Consider the following 20,475-nt stretch of genomic DNA (forward strand, 5'->3'; position numbering starts at 1 on the left):
TATGTTGTATTAGACTTTATACATATATTTCTTCCATTTGTAGAATGGGAATGTGTGGAGTCATTCCAGCCAAAAGCAGAAGAACAAAAGAAAATGAATCATACATTTTCAATATGGCTACATCATAAAGTTATATAAGAGGAAGAATACAAAAGATGAAACATGTTAGTAAGAGGGAGCTATGGTGGTTCCCAAATGACAAACTATGATAAATATTTCCCCAAAAACAAAACTACAATGAGACACCCCCTCACAAAAGTCAGAATGGCTATTACTACAAAAACAAAAAGTAGCCAACATTGGAGAAGTTGTGGAGAAAAGGGAACACTTATACACTGTTAGAAGGAATGTAAATTAGTTCAGCCACTGTGGAAAGCAGTTTGGAGATTTCTGAAAGAATTTTTAAAACAGAACTACCTTTCAACTCAGCAATCCTATTACTGGGTATATACCCAAAGGAAAATAAATTGTTCTACCAAATGACACCTGCACTCATACGTTCATCACAGCACTATTCACAATAGCAAAGACAGGGAATTAACCTAGATGCCTATCAACAGTGGGCTGGATAAAGAAAATGTACATATACACCATGGAATACTAAGCAGCCATAAAAAATAATGAAATATTGCCCTTTGCAGCAACATGGATGCAGCTGGAGCCCATAATCCTAATCAATTTAACTCAGGAACAGAAAATCAAATGCCACATGTTCTCACTTATAAGTGGGAGCTAAACATTGAGTACACATGGACATGTAGAAGAGATCAATAGACACTGGGCACTGGGGACCCCTAGAGTAGGGAGAATGGGAGGGGAGGAAGGGCTGAAAAACTACCTACTGGGTACTATGCTAACTACCTGAATAACAGGATTATTTGTACACCAAAGTTTAGTGCTGCAATTTACCCATGTAACAAACCTGCACATGTACCCGTAAACCTAAAATAAAAGTTGAAAATAAAGTAAAATGGCATAAAATGTTATAGATACATTTATCTATGCCAATGTTTTGAATTTGATATTTTACTATAGTTACACAGGTATAGCTCTTGGGGAAAATTGGGTAAAGAGTATGTGGGACCATTCTGTATTATATTTTCAACTTCCTATAAATACACAACTATTTAATAATAAATTTTTAAAAAAGAAAAAAGAGGAGGCAATGTGCTGAGTTTTCAGTAAAGCTAAAATTACTTAAATACTTCTGAAATTATTTTCCTTCCTGGTGTGTGACTATATATGAAAAATATCTTATTAAATAATAGAGAAAATGCATAGATAATATATCTTTTTCCTTTTTCTCTCTTTACTTGGAGTAATAAAAAGTTTGTAACCCTTGGTAAGTCTTCCAAAATTGTTAATTTTACTTTGCTGGTTCAAGAAGGCCAAATCTAGAAACCACTACCATAGATGACGGGAAGCTACTGAAGAATTTTGAATATTAAGTGGAATGAATCTTTAGACTTATGTGTAAGACAAATCACCCTTCCAACAAACGACGTTAGGACAACTGCACATGCAAATGCAAAAGAATGAAGTTGAACCCATACCTCACACAACCCTCCAAAATTAACAAAGTAAATTATAGACTTAAATGGAGGATATAAAACTCCTGCAGGAAAACAGAAGAGTAAATTTCCATGATCATGGAGTAGGCAATTACTTTTTACATTTGAAATCAGAAGCATAAGCAACAACAATAAAGAACAATAGATACGTTAAACTTTGTCAAAATTAAAAACCTTTGTCCTTCAAAGGGTACCATCAAGAAAATGAAAAATCAGGACTTGGGGTGGAGCAAGGTGGAGTAGGAGTCTCCACTGATCATCCCTCACACAAGGAGATTAATTTAACAACTATGTACACAGAATAAAACACCTTCATAAGAACCAAAACTCAGGTGAGCATTCACAGTACACAGTACGTGGTTTTAACTTCATATCAATGCAAGAGGCACTGAAGAGGCAGGAAAAACAGCCTTGAATTGCTGATGCCGCCTCTCTCCCATGCCCCAGAGGTGACAGCATGGTGGAGAATGCTACTGTGTGCTGGCAAGAGGGAAATCACAGCAACTGTGACACATTTAATAATGTCTCAGGGCATTTAATAATCAAACTCCCAAAGGTCAAGGATAGCATAAAGATCATCCTAAAAGCAGCAAGGGAAAAGAAGCAAATGACATACAATGGAGCTCCAATAAAGCATAGAGAACCCAGAAACAAATCCATGCACCTAAAGTGAACTCATTTTTGACAGAGGAGAACCAAGATCATGCACTGGGGAAAAGACCATCTCTTCAATAAATGATGCTGGGAAAACTAGATATCCATATGCAGAAGAATAAAACTAGACCCCCTATCTCTCACCATATACAAAAATCAAATCAAAATGGATTTAAGACTTAAGTCTGAGACCTCAAACTATAAAACCACTACAGGAAACATTGGAGAAACTCTTCAGGACGTTGATTTGGGCGAAATTTTATTGAGATACCCCAAAAGTAGAGGCCACCAAAGCAAAAATGGACAAATGGGATCACCTCAAGTTAAAAAGCTCTGCACAGCAAAAGAAATAATTAATGAAGTGAAGCGACAACCCACAGAATGGGAGAAAATACTTGCAAACTACCCATCTGACAAGAGATTAACAACCAGAATATATAAGGAGCTGAAACAACTCCATAGGAAAAAATCTAATAATCCAATTAAAAAATGAGCAAAATATTTGAATAGATATTTCTCAAAGGAAGACATACAAATGGCAAACAGGCATATGAAGTAGTGCTCAACATCGCTGATCATCAGAAAAGTGAAAATCAAAACTACAATGAGATATCATCTCACCCCACTTAAAATGGCTTGTATCCAAAAGACAGGCAATTGCAAACACTGGTGAAGATGTGGAGGAAAGGAAACCCTTGCACACTGTTGGTGGGAATGTAAATTAGTACAATCACTGTGGAGAACAGTTTGAACGTTCCTTGAAAAACTAAATATAGAGTTACTGTATGATCCAGCAATCCCACCGCTGGGTATATAACCAAAAGAAAGGAAATCAGTAAATCAAAGAGATATCTGCATTCCCATGTTTGTTGCAGCAAGAACTTGGAAGCCAAAATTTGGAAGCCAAAACTTGGAAGCAACCTAAGTGTCCATCAATAGATGAATGGATAAAGAAAATCTGGTACTTATACACAACAGAATACTGTTTAGCCATTTAAAAACATGAGATCCTGTCATTTGCAGCAACACGGATGGAACTGGAGGTCATTATGCTAAGTAAAATAACTCAAGCACAGAAAGACAAATATTGCCTGTTCTCTCACTCATTTGTGGGATCTAGAAACCAAAGGAATAGAATTCATGGAGATAGAGAGTAGAACGATGGTTACCAGAGGCTAGGAAGGATAGTGGGAGGGTTGTGGGGAAGTGGGGATGTTTAACGGGTACAGAATAAATAGAAAGAATGAATAAGAAATGGTGTTTGATAGCCCAATAGGGTACAATAGTCAGTAATAGTTTAGTTGTGAATGTTTTAAAAAGACAATGAAAAATCTACTCACAGAATGGGAGAATATATTTGCAAATTATATATCAGATAAAGGACTCACATCTAGAATATATAAATAATTATTACAATGTAATTTAAAAATTTGTCTAATGATTTTAGTAGCCATCTCCCGAAAGAAGATATATAAATGGCCAATAAATACATGAAAAGATGCTCAACACCATTAGAAATCTGAAAAATGCAAATCAAACCACAATGAGATACCACTTCACACCGGCTTGATGGCTACTGTCAAAATGATAGATAATAAAAATGATTGGCAAAGATGGAGAAACTGGAATCCTCATACACTGCTGATAGGGAATCAAAATGGCACAGCAGTTTTGAAACATAGTCTAGCGGTTCCTTAAAATGTTGGACATAGAGGCCACACATGATTCAGTAATTTCACTCTGAGAAAAATAAAAACACATCCACACAAAAACTTTTACATGCATTTTCAAAGCAGCATTATTTTTACAGTCAAAGAGTGGAAGGAACCTACATGTCTGTCAACTGATTAATGGATTGAAAAATGTATGAGGTCCATACAATCTAATATTATTCAGCAATTAAAAATACAGATACATGGTACAACATGTATGAATCTTGGAAACATTCTAAGTGAAGCAAGCTAGTCACAAAAGACCAAATATTATATAATTCTATTTATATGAAATGTCCAGAATAGGCACATCTATGGAGATAGTAGTTTAGTTGTTTCCTGGGGCTGGGACAAGGGAGTAGGAGCAGGAATAAGAAATGACCATAAATGGGGACAGTGTTTCTCCTTGGGCTGATGAAAATGTTCTAAAATTAGATTGTGGTGATAAATGCACAATGCAGTGAATATAACAAAATGCACTGAACTCACTTTAAATGAGTGAATTATATGGTATGTGAGTTTTATCAAAATAAAACTCTTAAAAAAGTCGGGGGAGGATCACTAAGTGTCACAGTGGAGGACAGGATGTAAGAAGCTGAGATGATAGACAAGGATATAAGCAAAGACCATGTTTACATAGTTCAGGAAAATTAAAAGCAGGGCTTGAACTACCATAGTGGCAATGGGAATGATATAGTGGGAACAAATGCAGGATGATGTGGTGGTAACTAGGCACACTTTCTCTCTACATCATCAACACCCACTTGATAGCCACTTTCACCCACTTGAGCGCTACTGTCTCTGATGGGTAGAAACCTCACTTTATTTGAAAACACCCAGAGCCAAACGTCTGTCCACCATCTCCTGAGTTGGCCTGCCTATGTGGAGAATCATTTAAATTATTTTTACTATTTGAGGCAAAATGTGCTTGTCTGCAACATCTACCCATTGTCTTTCATTGTGCCTTGTAAAAGTAAATATATTACTATGATAATGTTTGAAAACGTTTGTTTAATAGATGATCCAGATCTGCTGGAGATTATAGACTGTATCAATATTTGTACAATAAAGGTCAGAGAGACAATTCTCAAGTTAGAATTTTTGAAAATCTAAACTGTTCATCAGATAGGTAGATGAAGAGACCAAGCCCTCATGTGGTGTCAGACCAGCTTTCTCATCCCAAATATTAATACATTTTGGTTGCACATAGAAGGAAGGCATAGGAACCCCATTGCTATGTGGGGCTTTTACTGATGGCATCTTTCTGGAATCCTGAGAAGGTACTATCCACACTCCTGTCATTCAGTTTAATTGAAATGTGACCCTTTCAGGCAACCTAACAATATGTTTACATTACACAGAATTTTTCACTTAAGATTCCCCTTAATATTTAACTAACACCACTAAAGAATAATGCGACTGGCACTATAGCTGTATCAGAATGGGAAATCAATCAGTTTTCAATCTTGTTTGGCAACCCTCTCACTAACCCAGGCAGACAGAGACCCGGGGAAGGGGAGAAAGGGATGTTAGGCCTTGAGCCAGAGGTGAAATTAAATCTGCTTTGTATCTATTGTGAAATCTGCCTCACTTTCCAAGTGCTAACAAAGGGACAAACTGGGAGAGGCAGGTGCCTGATGTGTCTTCTATCTGGAAAATCGGGAGGTATCCCAAGAAGTCACGCTCATTGCTTCTGACACTTTCTTTAAAATATTGCTCTTTTCACCCATACAATTTTTGTCAGTAATCCTCAAAGGAAGATAATACTTGGAATTTCAAATCAGCAGCACCTTGATGGCAAAGTCAGGTATTTAGAACCCAATTTAACTCTTATGCTCCCAAACAGTAGAAATAAAAACAACAATAACAATAATAAAGTTATTTTACATTAAATTATCATGGTACAGTTACAAAGTACTTCACATATATTGTCTTAATTTACCCAGTGGAGAAAACTGTGCTGTTTAGCTATTCAATATATGTTTTGTTTGATTTTATTATGAAAATATATGAAGCAAAAAGTCTTTCTCCATAGAAAAATCAAGTAAAGCCCATAGAATAGTTATTAGCCTAGCATATATGAGAGTGCTCAGTGTAGGTTCTTTCTCCCTTCTGCCCCTCTAAAGCTACTTTGGCTAATAGGCAGTAAATGTTCCTAATACCTTCAGCAGTAGAGATTAGTTATCATTTCCCCCATTATGTACAAGAAGGATCCATTAAGCATCCCAAGTCCAGGGAAGGGAAAGGGATGCCAAGAAGTAGACAAGAGGTACGAGAGTACCACATCCCCCTTTCTCCCACAAAGACAATCATGCCAAGACAGTAGGCTGTGTTCTTCTGACCTACTAGTTTGCTCCTAGTTAGACCGTAGACTTAATCTTGCAGCATTGGTTCTTGTGGAAAACAGGATGATCTGTTGGAATAAACTGAGTACCTGAGATACAACACAAAGCAGGTGAAGCTTGTGTCAGCGCCTCTCCCTTGCATGGACCCAGTGGGAGATAAAGAGATTATAGAAGAAAAGAAACTGAATTACCAGGTCTTCAATAATTTGTTGTGATCTATTTTTTCATTCTATTTACTTTTAAACCTACTTTGTATTTGTAATTTTATTTTTTCTTAAAGATTCTCACTTCCTTCAGTAATATAGGCCACACAAGCTAGATCCACCCTTGAAGAGAACTTAATTCAAAAGAATCCCACAGCAAATGACTGCAACCTTCACAGCCAGGCCAGATTCAGGATTCAATGCTAAATTAGTGGTGGATTCACTGGTGATGCCAAATTGGTGATATCAAAAGACAACAAACCAGGCTCAAATATGCAAGTTGAATGCAGCATTTTTTTTTTTTTTTTTTTTTTTTTTTTGAGATGGAGTCTAGCTCTGTTGCCCAGGCTGGAGTGCAGTGGCTCTATCTCGGCTCACTGCAAGCTCCGCCTCCCGGGTTCACGCCATTCTCCTGCCTCAGCCTCCCAAGTAGCTGGGACTATAGGCGCCCACCACCACGCCTGGCTAATTTTTTGTATTTTTAGTAGAGACGGGGTTTCACCGTTAGCCAGGATGGTCTCGATCTCCTGACCTCAAGATCCGCCTGCTTCGGCCTCCCAAAGTGCTGGGATTACAGGCGTGGCAGCATTTTTATTATTCTGAAACTGATCTAATTTTGATGAATTTTTACCTTCCTCCTAGGTGGCAGAAAAAGTTCAACTTGTTAGTTCTGTTTCTTATTTTTGATTCCACTTAAAATGCTCCCCTGCAAGAAAATTCTTGCCCTTTTCAGAATTCTTCCCTTCCCCATTTCCGTTTCCAAAGATGATTGCTGAGTACAAGGGTGGGAGGATGTCTCTCAGTCCGGTGTCCAACGGGAGGGGCCCCTCTGATCTCATGGAGGGTGCCTGTGCCTTTTGCTGGGCTCCCATTGGGTCAGCATTAAGGGGGCTGCCTATGCTGACAACAACTGAGGACACACCCCTTTAAAGCTCACCAAACACTGTCCTCCTGCTATTGACGTCTAGAATGCAGAGGAAGCTCCTGGATACCTTCTACACCACACAGGCGTTAAAGATTTTGGAGAGCTAACCTCAGGGCATGTTACTTTGGTGGAGCTACCACTGTGATCTCCTCCCAGAGCACAGTTGTCCCCCTCCCCCAGGAGGCATCAGGATGTGTCTTCTCTCTCCCCTAGGAAAATTCCATGTCTTCATTTCTCCCCACAGGAAAATTCCTCTGGAAAATAGCAGGTCCTTCCGTTTTCTCTTCCTCTCTTGAACGGGCTTCCTCGAAGTCATCTCCTTCTTACTGGGTCACTAAGCCTCCCAGCTCGGTAGACATGGAAGAAAAGGTGTCCTTCCTGCATTATAGAAAAAGCACAGATATGCCAGATGTGTGCTTCAGGCCTGGTTCTTGATGTGTTAATTGAGGCTAACAGGTTTTAGATGATTCGTTTCATTTCTAACAGAACCAGTTGTTCAAAACTATTGTCTTGTTTCCAGTGCCAAAGCTGTGGATATTCAATGATGTTTATCACTCTCCCCCTGCCGCTGCAGTCCTACCCTGCACTGCTAATCCTCCCTCAGCAAACAGATGCCCCTGGAACAATGTAGGGGTGAGCACAAAGAAATTCAGGAGAAGAAAGTACATTCATGTAATTCAAAATTGTTATCTCTATCATAAGATTAGTAAAAAGCCTTTGTTCAGATTTTTTATTGTGAGCAGTGTTGTATTTTTTGTTATTGTTTCAAGGGATAGGTTGATATTTTGATATCACTTAGAACCGAGTCGGTAAACTACATATTTATCTTTGATCAACTAAGATTCTGTTTTTAAAGAAAAGAGGACATCTTTGGCTAGTAATGATTAGGTAACAGTGAATGGCAGGTGCCATATGGATCCTTGGAGCACAGACGGACATCAACCAGCAAGTATTTCTCAGATTCTACCCTAAAATAGTGACAGTATGTCAGGTGTGGACTAATATATGTAATAGCTTTCAAAAGGAACTGAACAACTAGCAAGTAAAGAGTAATTTATATTAAAAGATCCCAATAATAGATGGACTATGGCAAGAACCTCTGAACTAGTCTCTCTGCTTCTTCTCTACCTCTTTACAGTGTATTATCTACACTGCAATCAAAATCTTCCTTCCAAATGTAAGTAACTGTTCAATGGCTTCCCATGGGACTCGGAATAAAAGCTCACACTCTTTACAATGGCCCTGCAGGTTCCTCATCTCCTACCTCCAGCATCTTCACTGTCCCTCTGCTCCAACCACACTGCCTCTTTCTTATTCCTCCAGACCTCCCAACACAGCCCTGCCCCCAAGACCCTTCCAATGACTCTGATCCTCTTCCCTGCGCTACCCAGTGTCTCACTCCATCGATTCCTCCACATCCTGCCAAATGTCACCTAACCAGAAAGGCTTTGTTGAACCACCCCAGATAAAATAAAGTCCCCTGCCTTTACCCATCACTCTCTCTTGCCCGGTTTAATTCTTTCTAGCACTTACATTGTGATAATTTCTTTTCTGCCTCCTGCCTCTTTTCATTGGAAAATATATTACATGAGAGGAGGTTTGCTTTATTCATTGCTGAATGTTCAGCACCTAGAATAATACCTGGCACAAAATAGGTCCTCAATTATTATACCCAATTCCTCCCAGTTCTCTTGGAAGTTTCTCCATTTTACCATTGAAAATTCCACATCCTTGTGATTCACTTTGTCCCAGTGAATTCCAAACAGTTGGCCATCCTACCCTTAATAGATAGTTGTTGAATGAAGGAAAGGAATGAAGAAAAAAGAATGAGGACAGGGAAGGAGGGAGGAATCTAGGACAGAAAAGAAGGGAGAGAGGAAAAAAAGGATGTTAATATTTTCTTGTTCTATATGTAGAAAGCAAAAGAGTATTTTTGTAATCTTTTTTCAGCAAATGCCTGGATCAAATTCAATATGATTTTAAAGCCATGAGACCCTCTCATTCTTGGTTTTGATGTTGCACGGTATCATAATACATCTGATTGGAATTTCAATATCAGGTTTAATATACTATGCAAGCTGGTATAGGCTCTGAAATTATGCATATTCATGAGAGCAATCACACCCTTACTTTTGATATAACTGGCAAAGTAAGGTACCACAAGAGAACAATAATCAAAGAAAAAGGGAGGACTACCAGTTGTTATTTACTTATGACATTTTACTGGAAAAACTTAAGCAACATGAAAGACTATTTCTAAATGAAGTACTAAAACTAACAAGACAATGTTATAAAGTGTCATATTTTCTTTCCTTTTATACAATAAAACATTGAAAAGCTCCACCACTATGCAGCCACTTCACCAGATGCAATAATATCCAAATGTGAAAGTAATTAATAATATTGTAGTTTTAATTCCCTTGGTATTTCAGAGATATCCTTTGAACAGCCTAAATCAAATCATACTGGTACTTATGAGAAATAGATATCTCTTGTGAGTCCTTATATTGTGCTTCCCAAGAACCTACAGTGCATTTCAGTTATTTACCTTGAAAATTCTTCAGCCCATCCAGAGTGGGTTTGGAAATTTGTAATCATTTTGTAGAATGTGATAAGGGAGGACCTGTCTTCCTAAATTCTCAAGCTTGGAATTTTCAAGTCAGTGTCAGGACCATAGGCTCTCTAATGCATATATATTTGCCCTGAGCAAATAATTATTTATCTCTGTGCTTCGGTAGTTGCATCTGTATGTTAAAAATAAGATTATTGCTATGTTGATTTCTTATGACATGAGAGAAGAGGCTTTAAAAATTAAAGAAAAGAAGAAAACACTTTAAACTTAAGATGGGAATCATATCTTATTCTTTCATATTCCCAGCGCCTAGCAGAATGCCTGGTTAACTCACCGGGGGCATTAGCCAGTTCCTTGTCTACTACATCATTCCATCTTGTATCATTCCACGCTTTGAAGCAGGTACTATTACACCCTATTTGTAAGGCTTAGAGAGGTCTAGTGGCTTGCCCAAGAACAGACCACAAGTACACAGCAGAGGCATGATTAGAACCCTGCCCTTCTAACTGCAGTCTGGTGCTCTTTCCTGGACACCTGCACATCTCTTCCAGTAATTGAACTGACCTGCATGTTAAGCATTTCACATTGCTCTAACACACCAAAGCCTATCTACAGAAATGTTCAGAAAGATTTGTTCCCAAGCCCTCTTCCATGTCATGTATGCACTTTGTTCCTGGCACTCTTTGCAGACCATCTCTCTCCCAGCATGAAAGTTGTCTATAAACCCTGTGTAGTCGAATTGCAATTTGGAATCTCTACAGGAGCCCGACTACATTAAACCAATGCATGGATTAACACCTACTTCAACACACACAACCATTCTCCACGTACATGGGCAGTTTTTACCCAACCAAACAATAACAGACAGGTTCTACTCATACAGAGGAGGCATTGAAAGGCACAGTAGAAACACAGACACGCAGTATAGTGCTTCGTGTCCAGGTGCATTAATGAGCTGTGGCCTCAAATCCCAGGTTCGCCAAGAGTGTTTCTGCTCATGTATCAAAGCAAAGTCATCCTGGGTGTGAGTGGAAATGCTAGTTGCATTCATGTCAGCACTAGACATTTCCTGGAACCCATTAAACAAGATTCATTTTCCAAATGGATTTTGTTAATTTATTTTTTTTTCCTTTTGTAGTTAGAAACCTAGGGGAAAATTGAGAAGAATAAATGTGGTTAAACTGCCCCAGGGGATGGCTTGTCTGTAGAAGCATCCCAGGCATACCGAATGGCGTACAAAACAGACCTTAATGAGTACTGCTTGTCAAAGGATCTGATATGCATTTTGCAGAATAAACATAACTCCTTTTTCAGCAGTTGATCCACTATTCTCTAGGGAAATGAATGAAGGGCCATATACTGCTGTCTTTGCTGCCCAAACATACACTTGTTTGAAGGGAAAGCAACAAAAACAAAACAAAACAAAAAACCCTGCTGGTTTCTCTATTTTCTAATTACGTTTTCTTTCCAAGACATATTTTGTTGTATTGGTACAAAATACGTTCAGTAAATTCAAGGAGGAGAAAACATTCCAGTCTGAAATGGATTTCAGCTTGGCAAAAATGAATTAATAGAGGCATGGCAGGTCACTTATTTAACTAAGTACAGGGGCTGCCCTATTAACCTTGAGTGAGCTGAGAGAACTAAAGAAAATTCTTTGTTTGTCCTACTGCAAAATTGGCCAAGGCAAATCAAAACAAGATGCCTGGGCAAATCAAAGTGACACGTTCAAAATAAAATCATGTTAATACTGGTTGCAAATGAAACTTTATTAGCAAGTCAACTTTAGTAGAAGTGCTGTCTGAATGTAAAAATCTGACTGCTTGAAAATAACACGCCCCCAGTAATTAACTCTCCTAATAGGACTACAATTAAGATCTCGTAGGACAGCATTTCGGGAATTTCTTCCTGCTTATTCTCACCATATATATTTCTTATGGCTGCAGGTTAGTTTATACCTCCAAATATCATATTTCTCACTAGAAATAGCACTGAGTAATTGGGTGCTGCAGGGCTTACTGTTCAATACTGAGTCATTTTGATTAGACCCATATTTTATCACTTGTGCCATTAGCATCAGACATTTTTTTAAGCCATGAAACTCCTATGTTCTTGGATTTGATGTTCATAAAATTAAGGAAATCAGTTTCTACCATCTATTTTTCTCTTCAAAAATCAAATTACGTGACATCTCATCCATGTCAAGGCAGTCTAAATCACTGATCATTTTCCATCTGAGGCTAGGTGTGAAGCTAATCCATTTTCTGTAATGAAGCAGCGAAGCTAAAGAAGGGCTGAGCTATACTCTGAACTATGGAAATAATGGATCTAATTTAGATAGTTAATCCAGCCATTTCTGAATAGTGTGCACTCATGTTTGTTGAGCTAATAATGTCCATCTTAAATCAAGAAGACATTTAAACCTTTATGGAATATCTTTATAAAATATCAACCTTTATGGAATGTTATTAAAAATGTATGTATGGTAATGGACAATTCTTCACCAGTGCTTTGGATATTCTGCCCTCAGACCAAAGATGCTTATTTTTCTTCCTTCCCTCTCTTCTTCCTTTTCTCTCCCTCTCCTCTTTCCTTTCTTTCTCTTAGATCTTCAGTAATTTCTCTGTACTCCATGCAGCATGTGCAGTTGCTTAATTCAATCCATCTTTTCTTTTTAAAAATTTTTCCAATCTCATACCTTCCTCTATTTACTATGATAAAACTCTTCTATACTTCATAGGAAACTACTTAAAAGAAGTATGTACCTTCAATGTCTTTCTCCCTAAATTTTCACTTACTTCTAACTCAAACAGTTGATTCTTTATACTAACACATGAATAAACTTGCCAATGACATCTTATGTTGCTAAGGCTTATGCGTGCTTTTATTGTGTTTGTTTTTACTCATTTTTCTAGAGCATTTGACATATCTCCTTGTCAAAGTGTTCTCTTCTCTTGCCGTGGGGGACACCACTCTGGTTGTTCTTTCTTCATTTCCTTTCTTGGATCTCCTTTTTCACCCAGAAATATCGTTCTCTCCAAGGACTTTTTTCTTGGTACTCTCCTTTAATCGCTCAATGATTTCATACAGGCCCATGTCCTTAGGTGCCACTTCTTTGTTCATATTCCCAGCCTGCTGAGACTCAAATACCAGTGCTCTTCTAGATGTCTCTACTTCAGTACCCTTTTAGACAACTAAAACCTCAAACTGTCCAAAATTAGCCCCTCCTTTCCTCTCTCGAAATTGCTCTTTGACTTATTTTCCTAATGTTGCTAATGGATGAGGCTTCTATCCAGGCCTAAAACTAGAATCTCAGTTATCCAAGTGTCTTTTGCATTTAATTTTACACCAGATATTATCTATTCTATCTCCTATCTGTGTACGTCTTCCCATTCATAATGCCTTTTAATTGTCATTTCTTCAGTGAATTACAAAGATATCTTCTGAAATATTATCCCTTCTTCTGGTATGGCTTCCTGCAATATTCAATTCCAATGTCATGCTCTTGATTAAAATCTTTCAGTGGTCGCTCACTGTTTCTAGACCTTAGCTGGAACTCTTGGACCAAAAAATGTGAGCTACCTCTGTATCCACCTACTTTTTTTAAAAAGGCAACTTCCGCACTTATAAGGGACAGTAATCCTTGTGCCAGTTGAAATATTTTCACAGCCATGATTTTATCACAGACTGTAGGAAACAGATTCTCTTGCTTCTAGAAAGCATGTTTTGTTAGGGAACTGTGTTGAATTCTTCACCTCAATTAACCTTTATTTTAAACCTTCTGAGCATCAGAAGTATTTACTATCTTATATTATAAATGCAAATACTTTTTCCTGGATCAAATAATTGAAGAATAACTAGGATTATGAATGGGAAAGAAAGGTTTCCTATGCCTGAGTGAGTTGAGTTGCTGTTCTTTGCTTATCATATATAAAGAGTGAGTGAATTTATTATCATCCTGGTATGTACATGTTAACTCAAAATTATTGTGGTACTCACTGTACTTTGTACTATTGGGTTCCAATGGTTTGTAAGCTAGTGATTTATGCACATAAATCCTTAATTCTTAACTAAGAAAATTTAGAAATTTTAAAATTTAATACCCTATTAAGAAAAAAGGGTGAATTTTCCTGTGCTCTCTTATAGCAATCATCTTATCAAAAATTATTGCCCTTTTGAGAAAAGTACATCATGATAACATCACTTTGTATCTTCTAGCTTTCTCTGATGTTAGGCATTTTTTCTTAAACAAGTTAAATATTCCTCATGGAAAAATAATTAGCCAATTCCTTAAATTTGACAAAAACATCATTCAGAATTGTTGCTATCATTCCTTTTTTTTCCTCTTTTTTTGGATATTTTATGTCCAGGCAAATGGGGGAATGATTGGCTTTATATTCTTTACATGAACTGTCTTTTTTCCTGCCTATCCTAGTAATATCACAGCATCTAATTTATTTTCTTAACCACATAACATATCCTTTCCTCTTTTCTAATAAGAGAATATAGTTAACTTAGGCAAATGAAGCAGTGCCTGTGACATATTAAGTGCTATTAAATGCTCAATAAATGTTTCATGACTGAATAAACTCAAGGCCAGGTAAACATAAGAATAGAGAAAAAATAAGAGTGAAGCTGTGATTGGTAGTTTTTTGTTTGTTTCATATCTATAACCTCTTGGTAGCTTCCCCAAGAATAGTTAATTGTCCATGTGACCAGGACTTTATATCCTTATGTCACCTACTTCTGCTTCCTTCCCCCACCAGTTTCTGGGAAGAATTTTGCCAGATCACCAGATGCACACAGTTAGCTACTAAAGAATCTCTTGTCTGTCTCTTTAGCTTCTCCATAAATACACACATTTCTTCATTTGTTTTTAAGGCAATGCTGTATGTGTAATCATGTGTGAATCTTTATTGAACACTTATGGAATAAGCCACCTGTTCTTACAAATTAGCTGAGTTCTCAAGAAGGCCCAAATTAGTGAATTAGTTGATGAAGGAAATTTGTTGCGGAGACAGCAGGCAGCTAAGAAATTTTTCAGCTTGTCAAAGGTATTGTTAGTCTCACAGCTTGGCAAGGAGAGAAGAAGATACCATTTTGAAGAATTTTAGGTAGTGTCTTAATACCTTACACTCACTAAGGACGAAAATGAAATTGCTTGTCTTATCAGTTAAAGGGAAGCTTTGCTGATGTCAGACCATAGCCCAGAAAGTTAACTAAAAGTTTTGTAGAAGTAGATAATCTTTTCCTGGTGATCGATGTGGTGAGATTGGAAGTGAGTTGCCAGGGGAGTCATGGGGAAATAGGCTTAATCATTTTATTTGTATTTGTGCTGAAGGCAGTGCTGAACAAACCTCTGAAGTCACTTAGCCATGTCTTTTCCAGGGGGCATGCAAGGCGACTGCTGATTTCTACAGACACTTTTTAAGCGATTACCAGTGCTGGCAAGTGGAACTACCTTTCCGGTCCTCTTACAAGCATCCAGTCACTTGCTGAAATGTCATAAGCGATATAAACCTGCTGACAGGCCAGGATCATTGCATCTCCTGCCTCCTCCTTCCACGTAACAAATCTCATTGTTGATTGGCATATGGCAGCAAGCATCCCAACACCCAGAGTGGTGTTCTTATTTCTGAGGGAGCAGGGTCTGTGTGTGAATTGCACACACAGGGAGCAATCCCCTGCCCTGATACAGGCAACCTGAGTGCTTAGTTCCTTCTCTGCTCAGAACTTAGTGTGACTATGTGGCCTACCTCACATTGTTTGTGTTACACCTACACAGGAAAAAGGAAAAATGTCCTTTTGATTCCATGCTTGTAGAGATGTTCATCCAATTTGAATGAACATGTAGCCAAGGTAGTGTCTTCCCCCTTTCTTCTCCTTTTTTTTTTGTCTCATAGGTGTAATAACATTTCATTTTAAAAATAAATATGAAAAATGGAAAAGCATAAATAAAAAATAAACACATTTGTGAGTTTTTTATGCAGATATAAATACTGTTAATATTTTAATTTTTATCCTCTGGCCTTGTACTTCTAGGAAGTAATGAATGGTCTGGTTCTTTGGGTCCTTGGAGCCAGTGTGGGTAGGAGTGGGGTTGGCAGGGACAGTAGAGAAGGATGCAAGGAAAATATTTGCTCTGGATAGATAATTTTGTCTTTTTCATCCAATCTTATGGGGAAGAAAATGTTCAAAATTCAATAAATATTCATTGAACACCTACTATGTGCTAAGGACTATTTAGATAGTAGAAACACTGCAATAAATAATGCAAAATGCCTTTGTGAAAGTTATAATCTATGGAAAATGGAAGAGAGAGAGTAGAAATACCCAGTATGAAACTTGACAATTCAATACAAAGTAGCCAAATTATTTAAATAAACACTTTAAGCACCTGGTATATGGCACAGTTTTGAGTGATGATGTGTTAAATTCAAAATCAGGAATTTTTATCTAAACTGTGTATCTACAATAATGGATTATATAAAATGAGACAGTCTTATAAGCCTTGTTTCTAGATATTTTATAGCCTTTTGACAATTATTTAAGTCTGCATGTAGAATTTATCACCACTTAAGTAGAATCTATTAGGACCGTAGAATCTCAGAGATGAATTTAAATGGTCTACCTTCTCTATTTCTATTATCTATACTACACTCCTGCTCCCATGGCTGAATCCTCTCCCTGATACATTAAGCAGTAATTATCAGCCTCTTTTTGAAATCTTCAGGCACAAAAAGCTCTCTACTTCCTGAAGCAGCCCATTCCACCAACCAGTAGCTCCAATTTTCAAAATGATCTTCCTTATATTAATCTGAAATTCAAGGGCCCATAGTTTCTTCCGCTGAAAGTATGTGCAAGTCTCTGGGAACTATCTCAGGCAGTTGAAGCCTGGGGATATTTCTTTTCCAAGTTTCAAAGTTCAAATTGCCAGAAAGAGCCCTGAAAGGGTCTAAGGTGTTAAAGGTGTCCGTAAAACTGATGAAGAAAATAATAGCTTGTATCAAAGAGCACCAGTAGCATGTGGAAGAATGGGTTGTTAGGGGATATGGCTTTGATCTGCCACTCGCTTGTCAGCAGAGTTGATTCACTCACTTGGCTAGTTGAGAAGGTGGCCCTTCCTCCATGTGTGGTCTTCCTCAAGCCCCATGCTAAGGCAAAGAAGTTGACCTAAGCTCTGTCTTCCATAGGTCAAAGGTACCTGAATAGTTGAGTTATTTTAGTAGAAACTCTGAATATGGAATTGCAGTTTGAAGCAGCCAAAATATTCATTTTTATAGCTGAGAAGAGACTCTAACATGCAGAACATGTTGTCTTGGAGAAGCCAGTGATGAAATGTGTTGGTTTGAGCCATAGCAACAGTTCACCTTTATATGCAGAGGAAATGGAAATCCATTTTAATCATCAATGAAAAGATAATCATTCTAAAGTTCCTTTCCAACATCTATCACAAACATACTAAGTTTCCTTCTAAAAATAAAACAACTGAGTTTTCCCTCCATCTTGTGATTTTCAATGGAACCTGAAAGCTGGTGTCCTATCCTCTTATGCCCTTGGTGGCCAGTCAAAAGAGAACAGGTTTTATTCATTAATTACATCATTGATTTATTCACCAAACATGCATTGAGCACTCACGCTGTATCAGACACAATCGTTAGTACTAAATGTAAGAAATCCTGAGATCCTCAAATAAAATAGCAGAATATGGGTGGATTTGAGTAGACTGGTTTAGAAGATATTGAGGAAGGTGATTTGATGGTAACTAAATATGAGAGTAGTGAGCGCATTAAGATTAACTCTCAAGTTTCTTATATGAGGAGTTGGGGAGATGGTGGTAAGTCCACAAACTTGGGTAAGGCACCCAATTTTACAGGAGCAACATACTGAAGGAAATCCGTAGGGAAAAGGTGAAATGGTGTATTTACCAATGATGGTATTTGGGCATCAGGGTCTGGAAGCTCTTCTTCAGATATGGAAGCCCAGGCTTGGTAGTGTAGTGGACTTTATGGTAGAGAAGTAGCATCTTTTCTATAAAGAACCAGATTTTCTTTTTTTTTAAATAAGAGCTCCTGGTTAAAAGCTGTGTGTCAGATCCCATATGGGGGCTCTAAGATCTAATTTTACTTAAGGGCCCCAAGGCACAGAGGCTAGCCAAGATTCTGAGAAGATACCAAATAAAAATCTTGGAACCAATAGAAAGCAATTTTCATAATTAGGAGGAACACGGCACCCCATATATCATCATTAGTCTGAGACAAGGAACAGAAGGTTGGGGAGGGAAAGGATGGTTTCTCTAAACAGGGAACAGGTGGCCAGTGCAGTCAGGGCCAGCTAGGGAAACCTTAGGCAACTCTGCTCGAAAATTTCTCTGTTCCTCCCCTAGAAACTCTCAGATACAGAAGAAAACAGGATGATTAGTTATTGGCAATTAGTTATTAGTTATTGGCAATGGGTGTTTGCCTCCATGATAGTGTTTTTGTTCTTAACAGAGACACAGAGAAAGGCCAAAGGGTAGAATTTAATGGCACCCGTAGACACTGTGGAAAATGAAGTGTTTTTGTATGTCCTGATAAACTGAAGTTTTGATGTTACAAAATGTCCAAAATGCAATTTGGCTTTCATTTGAATTGCTTCCTGCAAAGTTAATTGTTTGCTCCCAATCCATAATTGATGATAGCTTTTCCCCTATTGCAGTTAGACCAAGGAATCTTGGCAGTCTAGTGCTATAGAAGCCAGACACATGCAGGTAATAACACCCCAAGAAGAGCTGAAATATTAGCCTTCGGAGACACAGGCTGTGCAAATTTCTCTGGCTTACAAAAGAGACATCAGTTACACCTTAGAGCCTGTCTTGTAGACTTAGTTTCATAAAAGTTGTATAATAATTTTGGAAAGTACAGATGACATGTCAGAAAAAATGCCAGAGGAAAAGCTCTGGGGAGCCTGATTAATCAGTTTCACAGTAGGTATAAGGAATGAGGGGGTTCTGATAGCTAAAGTAGTGATTTGCATGTCTAACTAATTTTCTTCTGCCATTTCTTCTCCATTCCCATGATATCCAGTACAGAGTGACCATGCAGTGTTGATTGATCGAACAGCAACCACCACATACATGTCCTGCCCCACCACAAAAGGAAGGAAGGAATAAAAGAAAGAAAGAAAGAAACAAACAAACAAACAAACAAAACTAAGCAAGACAAAACAAATACCCATGTCAGTGGTTCAAAGATTAAGATTGTGGCTTTGTGTAAAGTTCTTTCCCTTTGTAGACTTGCTGCATAATTATTCAGGTATGATGGTTACAGTTTTTAAAAAGGAAGGGAAATTGTGGTATGTGGTATGTAAATATTTTTAAATGTTGTCTCTCTGTTTTGATCAGTTTTTGTTTTATTCAATTTGTCTTTATTAAATCTTATCAAAGCAAAACTTGTTCTTCCCATTTCTCTGTTTTGATTACAGGACTACTGAATGGAGAGCTTTCTGATTTCTCCAAGGGAATTGTTTTGTAGAAAAGGCCATGCTAGATTTCCCTTGCCACTGCCTCTTTCTGCTTGGAAGGTAACCTTTACCAAGAGCTATAGCCTCTTAATCTTTTAGTGGAAATCGCTCTTGTGAAAACGAGCCCTGATAGTATCTTGGCTCACTAATTCATGCCATGCCGCTCAAAATTAAAGCATTAAAATTTCATAGATATAATACCATTTATAAATCATGTCATAAAAACATTCATTTTCTTATAGACCTTGAAAACTGGGCATGTATTCCTCCTCCAGCTGTTGCTTAAAGTTCATTACAGCACACCAGTATTTGTCAAAAACAAAGCTCTGGTAAAGTGGGGAGATATTTAGGAGCAACACCCTCAGAGCATCAAGGCACTGTCCTCCCAGCATTGTGCACATGTTCCTCCCATTAGTGGTCATGGAAACTGCAAGCCCACCTCTGTGTAATCAGAGATTCCCGGCAGAATTGTATTAATGGAGCAAGTGGTTCTGGGAGGGTAGCTTTATCATTCTTTATGTCCTTATTCTGTTCACTTGGAGAAAGAGACTATTTACCATTTTCCCTAAATTTATCTCCTATAAAATTTCAATATGTTTAGTGGATGAAGGCAACAGACTAATTAAGTAGACGGTAAACATTTGCCACATTTCAAAAAATGACAATGACAGACGATTCTTTTTGCCATTTACCCTTAGGCAGCAGATGGGGACTTGATAATTGTTTAAGCAGCAGAAATAACTTGCCCTAATTTACTATCTAGTTTTTTGTTTGTTTGTCTTTGATTATGCCTGAATAAAAACCTTTTGTCCATTTGAAGTGGTGGAAATTAGAATATCCATTTTGAGGTGTTTCTGGGATGTACATGCCACATATTTGGCTTGCAGATGCTAATGGGTATCTAATCACATTTGCCAACCATAAAATCCCTATTGGTAAAACACTTACATCTGCAATAATCTGCCACTTTCTTGAAACATGCTAATTTTCTT

The 20,475-nt window shown here is 37.8% G+C and overlaps 1 protein-coding gene across 15 annotated transcripts in view; it reads left to right on the top strand.

Moving 5' to 3' along the window:
• Positions 1-20,475, top strand: part of ST6GALNAC3 (ST6 N-acetylgalactosaminide alpha-2,6-sialyltransferase 3) — a 562,594-nt gene that overhangs the window by 483,053 nt on the left and 59,066 nt on the right. For 3 of the 15 annotated variants that reach the window (XM_047417099.1, NM_001160011.3, XM_017000939.2), the window contains one exon: positions 19,048-19,411. The exons of 10 other annotated variants lie outside the window; for them this stretch is intronic. In XM_047417099.1, coding sequence (XP_047273055.1) covers positions 19,048-19,057 — 10 coding nt within the window. In that variant the 3' untranslated portion in view covers positions 19,058-19,411. Of the gene's footprint in view, positions 1-19,047; positions 19,412-19,444; positions 19,544-20,475 lie in introns of those variants that run through there. 2 more of the 15 variants (NR_146056.2, NM_001349110.2) reach the window with 2 other exon arrangements.

This window comes from Homo sapiens, chromosome 1 (assembly GCF_000001405.40).
Source record: "Homo sapiens chromosome 1, GRCh38.p14 Primary Assembly".
NCBI lineage: Eukaryota > Metazoa > Chordata > Mammalia > Primates > Hominidae > Homo > Homo sapiens.